At 33.8% G+C, this 12,248-nt stretch overlaps 1 long non-coding RNA gene across 1 annotated transcript in view; it reads left to right on the plus strand.

Moving 5' to 3' along the window:
* The window catches only part of DISC1FP1 (DISC1 fusion partner 1), a 663,821-nt gene that overhangs the window by 530,994 nt on the left and 120,579 nt on the right, over positions 1-12,248 (plus strand). The gene's annotated exons all lie outside the window — the stretch shown is intronic.

Here is a 12,248-nt window from a genome sequence, read left to right on the forward strand (position 1 = left end):
GTTTTAATATTTATGAATAACTATTAGGATTTTCTAGAACATTGAGTCTGTCTTTTGTTATGAACACTAGGACATTCTCTTTAGCTATAGTGCAACATTTCTAACTAGATTGGGCAGCACAGTACTTTTTTAAAAAATTTTTGTTTTACTTTTCAATCCAGGGTCCTGGTGACAGTTTTCAACTTTTGTTATAAAGGCATGGACTGTCCACTTAGTTGTATAAAAAAAGAAGAGGTCTCCATGACCATGAAAATCAGAAAAAAAAATACTAGAAATGTTATCATAGTTTCAAAAATCAATAAAACACACGAACTGTTTTTTTTTTCACAAGTTCAGTTATACTGAGGAAGACAGACACACAAAGATGAGTAACTGAGCCAATTTTCTCTAAAACATCTAGATGAGCCTTTACTTATAATTTTTAAGTGAATTCAGAATTAGAAAATATAAGTAGATCCCATGACCACTTAGTCCAACAATATTTTTGTGGCCTATATGAAACCAACTTAGTGGTTTGACTGAATTTTTAATTTCCATCCAGATATTCTCAGGTCTTACGCAAGGAACTCAAAGCTAGTCTCCAAGTTTCATGAAAATTACTATTTAAAAAAAACATTGCTTTTCTGCCTCTTTTACCTTATTGAGCAAAATTAGTTAAGCTGGTATGAGAGAACTATTTATGTCAACTTGAGCCTGTTTGTATTATTGTATTAATTATATATTATTATTATTATTATTTTTACCTAGGGAGCTGTTTCAATCATTAAATAATAGTTTAACAGCAGCAAACTGCATTAGACAAAAAACAACTACGAATTTTGAAGGACCAAGTAGTGACTAAGATTTTATTTGTTATTGTTTGTTGTGAAGGAAAAATACTGTGTTTAATAGAAATTGCGTTAACCATATTGAAGTATAAATGCACAGAATGGCTTTTTCAATTATCAGCTGTCTTTGCTCTCAGCTCTGCTTTGGAACGTAACCAGTAACAGAAGAAATACATTGCTTTGCATGCTGACTTATTGTGACATTGTCCCTTAAATATTCTTTACACATGTGCAAAGCCCTCATTAGAAAACTTCTGCATTTGAATGTCTCCTAACAATACACCCATGTGCAGTATAGGTTTTAATACAGAATGCCAAAACTGTCTTATAAAAGAAAATTTCCATCCAGAGATGTCTATGGAAAAGCAGTTTTCTTTGTTAAGCTTCAATAAACCCATTTAAGAGACTGGGGACGAAGGCAAAATTCTTTTTGCAGTAGCTTCCTTTCCTAACAAATGCTTTTCAATATGCCTCCATCTTACTAATGAGCATAATATATATTCTGTGATCTGATAGTAAATTGGAGTGAAAATACACTCTTAAGATGTTGATTTTTTAAATAAAAAATGCACCGACCTACCCTCTGGAAATAAAAATATGTGTAAGCTCTATATGTTTCTGGTCCTCAAGGAGATGCATAGTAAATGATAAATTCTAAAGTGCAGATGTTAAATTTCTAAAATGTAGCAGCTATTAAATAAGTCTCCAAGGAGAAGTTCGGAAAGATTTCTCAGAATAGAAGGCACTTATAGTTGCTACAGGCACAAAGAAGAGGAAATGCAGAATTTCAGAAATAGAGTACAACATGTGCAAAAGCATGTGTGATAGAGGTTATGAATTGTTTTTATCTGACTAGGTGTGGCCATGTGACTATATTCAGGACATTAGAAGGTAAATGAAAGTTACGTTTTCATTTTCCAGGTCATATCCTTTAAAAAGATAGCCAGGTGTAGTGGTCCATACCTGCAAGCCCAGCTACTCTGGAGCCTGAGGGGGGAGGATTACTTGAGCCCAGGAGTTTGAGGCTGCAGTGAGGTATGATCACGCCACTGCACTGCAGCCTGGATGACAGAGCAAGAACCTGTCTCTAAAAAAAGTAATAATAAAAATAAAATTTGAAAAGAAAGTTGCTTATTTTTTGCTTCTTCCCTTTCCTCTTTTTTATACTGAAATTCAGACAAGGTGATAGTGAGTAAACTTTAACCATGAATGTGAGGTCTCTGTCCTGGGAAATGGTTGAGCAACCCAATTAGAAGAGACCTGGTATCTGTCTACTCTGAATTGCCTGTCTACGTCTAAACTGTCACATGAGAAAAAATAGAATTGTATCTCATTAGAGCTGCTATATTTTCTGTTCCTCTTGTAACAGTAGCTTAGCTTATACTCTAATCAATACATTATGAAAGGATGAGATAAGATGGCATGCTTGTATTATGTTTAGAAAAGCTGGAGACTCAGGTTGAATGAGGACACTGATTAGATCAAAACCTTGAAAGAAATGTCATGACTATATCTTGAAGACCCTCATATGAATGAGGTTTGAACTACGTATAGATACAATCATGAGTCATCAGATTTTTATGCAGTCTAGTAATATCAATTCAGAGCACATACTTAGGTCAGTATAATCACACAATTTCTGGTAACAGCATCCCAAATTCCTTTTGAGGAATCTACCCCTTGTATGAAGCATCCATGGTTTGGTAAATCAGGGTGAACTAGTAGACATCTGATAGCCATGTGACCTGATCTAGGCAGTCAGATTCTATCTCCCAGAACTTTGAATCTTGAGTGGATTAGTATAAGTATGTACACATGCTTATTCATTAAATATATATTCATTAATTTGCTTATCCTCTATTCCACGTCACACACTGATCTAGAGATCAGGGTTAGTGTTCAAAAAAGATAAAAATTCTCACCTCCATAGAATATGTGCTTTACAAATATTCACATACACTGAATCATTTTAGCAATAGTGCCCAGATTGTGAATTTTCTGTTCATGTATTCTAGTGTTTTCTCAGTTCCTTTACTTTCTTACCCTTTCCTCCCAAATTTCCTACTAAACAAAATGTTCCCCAAATTTCTACAAATTTCCCATTTCCTAACATTGAGATAGTGTCTATTGCAACCAAAAATACCAAATACAGATTTGAGTTAAAGAAGTAATACTTTTATTCAGTTCAATTTGACAGACATTTATTACTTATCTGCTGAATACCAGAAACTGTGTGATGTTCTGGAAAAAAAAAAAGACATGACACTACTTGTTGTAAATAGAATATTGAACCAAATGTCAACCATACCCTTAACTACAAACTTATTATGGTGAGTATACTCTCTTGGCCTTTGACTTTGGACTTGGTCTAGTGACTTGATTTAGCCATTGGCATGTGGATAGGCAAGACAGTATGGTAGTTTCAAAACTAGAACTTTAGAAACATAACATGTTTCTGTTTGCCTTCTTGTGTCTCTGCCATCAGCATGCAAAGAATATGTTCTAATTAGATTACTAATTTAATAGTGGGTGAGGAATGTAGAGCAGACTCAGACCAACCCACCTGCACAACAGAAAGGAAAATAATTATGTTTGTTTTTTTTTAAAGAAGGTTTACTATGAAAATGTTAACATTTTTCCTTCAGTTAAGGAACTTAAGGACTGCAGAAGAGACAGGCACATTATCAGATCATTTTCATGTGTCTTTGTCATACATTGTCTTTAAGTCAACCTAATCATCTTCCTATATAATGACTTTCAACAAAATCCCCTTATACTAGCATAGGGTTAATTGATCACTAGAATATATTACTTTATATAGCGTGTGTTATCCAGATACAATTTCTGCAACATAAAATTTCTAGAAAATCTACAATGGGAAAACTCACTAACTATGAATACTGCCAAAAGTGAATAATTGCTTAAACCTTTATTTTACCTAGAGTCACATATATGTAAGATATATCTATCAATCTATTTTTGATATAGATCGATAGATATGCTATATATCATATATGTCACATATACCATGTATGTGTGCTATATCATATATGTATCTTATATATAAAATACCCTATATATGTTTTAAATAGATAGAAAAAAATTCAGAATGTCTATAGAACCAGCAAAAACCCTAAATAGCTAAAACAATATTGAGAAAGATAAAAAAAACTAGAGGCACCACACATTCTGTGTTTAAACTATATTACAAAGCTATAGTTATCACAACAGTATGGTATTGGCATCACAACAGACACAGACTGATGGCACAGAATAGAAAGTCTGAAAAAAAACATGCAAATATGGTCAACTAACTTAAAACAAAAGTGCCAATAATATGCAATAATGAAAGAATAGTCCCTTCAATAAATGGTGCTGGAGAAACTAAATATCCACATACAAAATTAAAATTGCGCTCTTCTCTTACACCGTACACAGAAATCAGTTATAAATAGATTAAAGACTAAAACATAAGTTTTATGAAACTGTAAAACTTCAAACGGAAACAGGGAAAATCCTCCTTGACCTTAGTCTTGGCAATGATTTTTTGTATAATACCACAACACAGGCAAGAGAAGCAAAATATAAACAAGTAGGATGATATCAAACTAAAAGATTTTAACACGGCAAAGGAAACAACCAATACAATGAAAAGGCAACCTACTGAATGGAACAAAAAAAATATGTAAAGTATATAACAAGGAGTTAACATTAAAAATATATAAAGAAGATAAACAACATCCAAAAATAAAAGCAAATAATTTACAAAATGGGCAAATGACCTGAATAGACATTTTTCCAAAGAAGACATACAAATGACCAACAGGTATATGAAAAAGTACTCAAACAACACTAACCGTCAAGGAAATACAATTCTAAACCACAGTGATATCGCCTCATACCTGTTGGGATGGCTATTTTCAAAAAGTTAAAAGACAACAAAATTTGGGGAGGAGGTACAGAAAAGGGAACCTTTATATATTGTTGGTGAAAATATAAATCAATAAAGCTGTATGGTAACCAGTATGGATTTTTCTCAAAAAACAGAAAATAGAATTGCCATATGAGCCAGCACTCCCATTTCTGTTACATATCCAAAGGAAATCAAATCAGTATGTCAAAGAGATATCTGAACTCCCATTTTTATTGGAGCATTATTCACAGTAGCCAAGATATAGAAACGATCTAACTTCTCTCAACAGGTGAATAGATAAAGAAGATGTGGTGGTTATTCATATAATGAAATATTACTCAGCCTTAAAAAATGAAAATCTTGCCATCTGCAGCAGCATTGATGGACTGGAAGTGCATTATCCTAAGGGAAATAAGCCAGACAGATAAAGACAAATGTTGCATGATCTCACTTAAATGTAGTATCTAAAAAAGTTTAACTCATAGAAACAGAGAGTGGAATAGTGGTCACCAGGAGCTGGAAAGTGGAGGAAGTGAGGAGATGCTAGTCAAAAAGTGAAAACTTTTAAGTTCTTAGAAGAATATCTTCTGGGGAGCTAATGTACAGCATGGTGATTATGGTTAATAATACTTGAAATTTGCTAACAGAGTAGATCTTAAGTGTTGTCACTATACACAAACAAAAAATAATAACTGTGTGAGGTAATAGATGTAATTAACCTGAAAATCAATTTATAATGTATACATATATCAAATCATGTTATACACTTTAAATATATATAACTTTATATATCCAATACATATCAATAAAGCTGAAAAAATAAAATTATATGTTTGGCTTGTTAGATAGATGATTAATAGCTAGTTAGTAGCTAGATAAATTAAACTCAAATCAAAAAAGAACTCATTTGGTGAATGAATATATGATTTATGCTGAAGAATATTCCATGTGCATTTGGGAAGAATGTATGTTCTCATTCCTTGGAGTGAAGTGCTATGTATATACGACATTGCACAAGATATAGATCTTGTATATAGTTGTTCTATCCATTATTGGAAACAAGATATTGAAATGTTCAATATTATTGTCTAATTGTCTTATTATTATTGTCTATTGTCTAATTTCAATTTTTCTTCATGTATTTTCAGACTCTGCTGTTAAATGAATATGTGTTTATAATTGTTACATGCTCTTGATTAATTGACACTTTTCTTAATATGTAATGCCCTTTATCTCTAGCAAGATTTTACTTAATTTTTCTTTTATATGGTATTTGGCTATTCCAGTTTTCTTTTCCTTATGACTTAAAGAGAATATCTTTTTCCATCCTTTCACTTTCAACCTATTTGTGTCTTTGAATATAAAGTGAATGTTTCCTATCCAGCACAGAGATGTATCTTTTAAGAAAATTACATTCTTCCAATCTCTACATTTTAATTAGAGAGTTTAATTTTCATTTAAAGTAATTACCAATAAGGAAGGACTTCTGCCACTTTTCTATTGCTTTCTATATCTCTCATGTGTTTTTGGTTACTGAATTCCTCCAAAACTGCATTCTTATATGCTTAGTTGACTTATTATAGTATATAATTTTGATTCCATTCTGTTAGCTTTACGTATATAGGGTTTACTTATTTTATTGTGGCTATCTTAAAAATTACAATGAGCATTTCAACCATATAAAAACCTCATTTGAATTAATACCTACTTAACTTCAATAGTATCCAAAATTTCTACTTCTATACATCTCACTCCTATGATTTTGTCATAAATTACATCTTTATACATTGTGTGACCATTAGTATAGGTTTATAATTATTTTTCAATTTTTTTATATAATACAGAAAATATAGCACTACAAAACATAAATACAATAATACTGACATCTACATTTATCTAAACCATTGTTCTCTTTTTTCATATGACTTTAAATTTCTGTCTAATGTCTTTTCATTTGAGCCTGAAAGACTTCCTTTAGCATTTCTTGTAGAACAGGTCTATTAGTAGAAAACTCCTTGAGCTTTTATTTGTATGACATCATCTTAATATATCTTTTGAAACATAGATTTGTAGAATATAAAATTCTTTATTCACTGTGCTTTTCTTTCAGCACTTCAAAAATGTCATCCTACTCCCTTCAGGCTTCCATAGTTTCTGATAAGAAATCTACAGTTTATCTTATTGAGGATCTCTTAAATAAGATGAGTCACTTCTCTCTTGCTGATTTTAAGATTTTCTCTTTGTTCTTGGATTTCAACAGTTTTATTTTAGTGTGTGTCACTCTGGTTCTGTCTATCTATAAATTTTTGTCGAGATTCTTAGATGTTTAGATTCATATCTTTTATCAGATTTGAGTGTTGTTGATCATAATACCTTCGAATATTTTTTTTGCCGCTTCCTCTCTTCTCTTTCTTGAATTTCCCTTATGTGTATGGTCTCCCACATGTCTCTCAGGCTCTGCTCATTTTACAATATTATTCTTTCCTTCTGCTCCACACACTGAATAATTTCACTTGACCTTTCTTTAAATTTGCTCACTTTTCTTCTTCCTACTGAAGTCTTCCGTAGAACTTCTTCAGTGAAATTTTCATTTCACTTATTGTAGTTTTCAGCTTCACAATTTTTATTTGGTTTCTTTTATAATTTTGATCTTTGTTTAGATTCTCTATTTATTGAGCTATAATTTTCCTCTTTTCCTTTAGTTATTGGTCTATGAGTTTTTTTGTCTATTTAAACATACTTAAGACAGTTGATTTAAAGTTTTTGTCCAGCATGTTCTATGACTTTGATTCCTCAGTCAGTTTATATTAGTTTATTTTTTCATTTGATTGCACTATATTTTCTTATTTCTTTGAAAGCCTCATATTTATTTCATGAAACTTTCCATTTTTAGTATTTTGGCAGATACTACATTCTTTGTTGCTTTTGGCATTTGTGGTCTCTGTTCTTTTAGTTAGTGCTCAGCTAGTCATCTTTTATTTTGAATTTTAAAATGTGGTAACTTTGCAAATCAGATTCTCCCTACTCTTCAGGGTTAGTTCTAGTTGCTTATGGTAGATTGCAGTTGTCCATTTTTTTTTTTTTTTTTTGAAACAGAGTCTTGCTCTGTCACCCAGGCTAGAGCGCAGTAGCTCTATCTCTGCTCACTGCAAGCTCCACCTCCCAGCTTCAGGCCATTCTCCTGCCTCAGCCTCCCTAGTAGCTGGGACTACAGGTGCCCGTCACCATGCCCGGCTAATTTTTTTTGTAGTTTTTAGTAGGGACGGGGTTTCACTGTGTTAGCCAGGATGGTCTCGATCTCCTGACCTCATGATCCACCCGCCTCGGCCTCCCAAACTGCTGGGATTAGAGGCATGAGCCACCGCACCCGACCAGTTGTCCATTTTTTCAAGTGGCTTTTTCAAACTGTTTTTTGCAAATATTGTATTTCTTTTTGTATGTGGTTACTAAACTGTCTGTTCCTTTAGCTCACCAGTTAGCCAGTGACCCAGCAGACTTTCCTTTAAATGCTTGGAGTAACAGAAAGAGAGAAAGGGGGAGAGATAGAGATTGAGGGAGAGAGAGAGAGAGAGACAGAGAGAGAGAAAGTCAGGAAGGTGGGAAGGCAGGCAGAAAGGAAGAGCAAGAAAGAAGGAAGCAGGAAAGAAAATTCTCTATGTCTTTGTAAATGGTGTCTGTTTTGGGGCTTAGCCTGTCCATTTTTGACTCTGTCTTAGCCTTTACCTCTTGCTAGTGTGGAGCTTAAAGTTTAGCTGAGGTCAAATTTATGATCTCTTCAAGTCTTTTCTGAGTGTCTTACCCTGTTTATGTGTATGGCCTTTTAGTTAACTTGGTATATGTAGGAACTTTTCACAGTCCTTATTCCCCAAAACTCTCACTTCCCAGATTTTCCTCCAAGCCTTTCAGTGTGTCAAATATTTGCCCCATCTGTTACTTTTTGCTCCAGGTGGCAGCACCTTTTCATTTGGCTTTCAATGTTTTCATAGCCTTTCCTGCCTGATAAAATTCTTAGGCAAAACAAAAAAAAAAATTCCTTTTGTTAATACTTTGGGGAAACTGTCAGGTAAGACAAACAAACAAACCCCCAATATGTCTTGGAAACAGGGCTGTTCTGCTCATTCAGAAATCAAGTATTCACACTGAGAATGTAGGCTATCGTCTCTGATATGGTTTGGCTGTGTCCCCACGCAGATCTCATCTTGAATTCCCACATGTTGTGGGAGGGACTGGTGAGAGGTAATTGAATAATGGGGCAGGTCTTTCTCATGCTGTTATGATGATAGTGAGTAAGTCTCATGAGATCTGATGGTATTAAAAAGGGGAGTTTCCCTGCACAAGCTCTCTTCTCGTCTGCCACCAATGCTTTCACCTTCCACCATGATTGTGAGACCTCCTAGCCACGTTAAACTGTAAGTCCAATAAACCTCTTTCTTTTGGAAATTGCCCAGTCTCAGGTATGTCTGCGTCAGCAGCATGAAAATGGACCAATACAGTCTCCAAGACTGCTATGTTTGGGAGGGAGAGAAGGCTAGGGTTAGTTAAAATGCTACAAAGATCATATTCCATGCTTAGGTAGCCTTTCTCCTGGTTTCTTTTGCTTGGTTGCTCTAAATCTTTAGCTGGCTCCATGACTTCCAGTAGGATTGATTTTGATAGTTTCTGTTAGAGTTTTTAGTGTTTTTATGAGGAGAAATGAACCCCCAGAATTCCCTACTATGCCACTTTCCCTGACATTACCTAATTTCTGCATTTCTTAATGTGATTAATTATCCACTGTCAGAGAACACATGACTCTAGTTCTTAGATCTTCCAATATAAAAGAGGTCATGTGTATTACACAGAAATGTGTTTATATACATAAAATAAATTATAATCAGTGATGAAGCAGTGTATAGTTGGATCAGCCAATCAGGGAAACTGACTAGTTCTATGTTGCTTTGTTATTTTCTGATAGAACAAGGTATAGAGCCTACATATATTTTTAGTTCATCACTTTTTTAATGCATAGTTTTGATAGAAGAAAAGGTTGCTGTTGAATATTAACTAACACATATTTTGTAACTTTCAGTTTAGTCTCCTGTTGGGGACATGAAACCTAGATTAATACTAATACATATCACCAGTCCTAAAGGCCAGTAACGTTGGTCTTCATAATGACGATTTTGAAATGTTTTTATATCTGACAGTTCCATAAATTCACATTTTAAGAAGAAAGTAGAAATATATTTTGCTCCTTTTTACATTGTGTCAAAATAGCAATGAAAAATTAAATTCCAATTGTTATCTTTAAATTTTCTTAAAGATATGTTGTCCTTCTACTTCTCCCACATTTGCATCTTATATTTTTGGCTTTAGCATTGATTCAAATGAGACCAAATGTAAAGAACAGTATGTGTGTATTTGTACAGGGGAGGAAAACAATAAAATGATAGAATGATGTAATAGAAGAACTACTTGAAAAATCTTTGTGCAAACATGTTAGTTTAATTTACTGCTTCACAAAATGTAAGAAGGCACTTCATGTGCTTTGAACAAGCTAGGGAGAGTTGAACTCTTGGACTAGAGAAGATATAAAAGCAGAATGCACAGCCTGGTATTCTTACCTGGTCCCTGATATCCACGAAATACAATAAACTGTTTTACAAGAAAAGAATGCCCGGTAGCCAGTCAATTATGTGTTTCGACATACAAATGTGCAGATATCACTTCTGGTTGTAAAACTTTTTCTAGCATCTTTTATTAGTATTTTTATTTGCAGACAATTTTAATGAGCATTGTAGCTTCTGTCCTTCTCATATCCAAGGCTGATGTCATCCTGCCTAATAATACTTAGTAATATCCAAAGGCCAGAATTTTGTGATGTTGATGTTTTTCCTGTGCTTTGGCTTATAAAGTTGGTAGGTGATCTCTGCAGGCAAGCTTTTCAACCTGACATAGACACCACTGTTTTATTCCAACATAGGTTCCCAGCTGGAGACTATTTCATGTTGGAGAGATGGTGATATAATTTTAAAAGTTTGTGAAAGGTCTAAATGGAAACAAAGGTTTTCCCCATACTTTAATTGCTTGTAACACACTTGAAATTTTATCTGAACAGAAAAATAAATCTGAAACATCAAGTTTTGTGGTTTCACAGCACCGCTCAAGCTTGAAGTCATTAAGATATATATTCAGCATTAACAATAAATCATTTGAAATACAGGCAACCAGTATGAATGCTTTATCCTTCCCTGATGGATGATGGCTTGGGGGATAAGTGCCTCAGAATCATTATTCTTAGAAGAAAAATAATACATTATTAATAAAATAGGACTCAGAGTCTTTCATTTAAAGACCTCTAGTTACTTTTTTTCTGGGGGAAAAAGCATTTTGTCATTTGAAAACAAGGAAATGGATGTGTGTGTTAAGTGATTTATCCCAGGTCTGACTGAAAGATTCAGAATTAGCTTCTATTTTTGCTTATGTCTATTTTTTGCCTAACCCTCAGGTGGCACCCCATGGCATATATAGAGGAGGTGTGGGCAGATGTCCACCACATGGGCTCCCACGATGCATGTCGGTTTCACATGTTAACCTGCCACGTTCTCTTGAGTGTTCTTTTTTGGACTTTTAAGAAGAGCGGAGATATGGCATTGAAAACTAAAATTCACAATCTGCTCAGTCTAAGATTTCAATATGATATACTGATATTTGAAATTTTAAAATGACATATTTTGACATTATTTCATACTGTGAGAGAAATTAGAAATGCTAAAGTTGATTGCAGGGCTAGTGTATTTTTTTGTTTGTTTGTTTTTTATTTTTTAATTAATTTTTGCACCCATTAACTCGTCATTCAGCATTAGGTATATTTCCTAATGCTATCCCTCCCCCCTCCCCCCACCCCACAACAGTCCCCGGTGTGTGATGTTCCCCTTCCTGTGTCCATGTGTTCTCATTGTTCAATTCCCACCTATGAGTGAGAACATGCAGTGTTTGGTTTTTTGTCCTTGCGATATTTTTAAACATTTTTTTTTTCTCACCAAAACACACACAAAAAAGGAGAATGTTTAGAATTTAGCATGTATCGTAAGGGTAAGGCTAAAAGTAGGAGTAAAATGGGAAGTGATTTTTAAAGATTGATCAGTTTTCTGGCAGATATCTCTATGGATAAGGTCATTACAAATACATGAATTATCCCGTGTTCCCCTTTCTAACTCACATACCCTTTGCTTTTTTCTATATTGTATATGTTATGATTTTATTTGAGGCTTCAGAAGTAGATTAATTAATAAAATCCTCTTGGGTTTTACAAGTATGTTGGAATTTCACCATTTTGTATTCACCTTAGAAAGCCATGCTTTTTTTACTGATAACACCTGTGCTTCAGGCATAAAGCAGAAATAAGCTTATTAACATATACTTTCTAATTGGAACTTAAACAGAAGGCAAATTCACAAATGTGACTTTTATCATCTCCTGGAAAGTGTATTTGTGGTTCTTAGTCTTTCAGTGTCGTTACCAGTATG

Source organism: Homo sapiens, chromosome 11 (genome assembly GCF_000001405.40).
Source record: "Homo sapiens chromosome 11, GRCh38.p14 Primary Assembly".
Taxonomy (NCBI): Eukaryota; Metazoa; Chordata; class Mammalia; order Primates; family Hominidae; genus Homo; species Homo sapiens.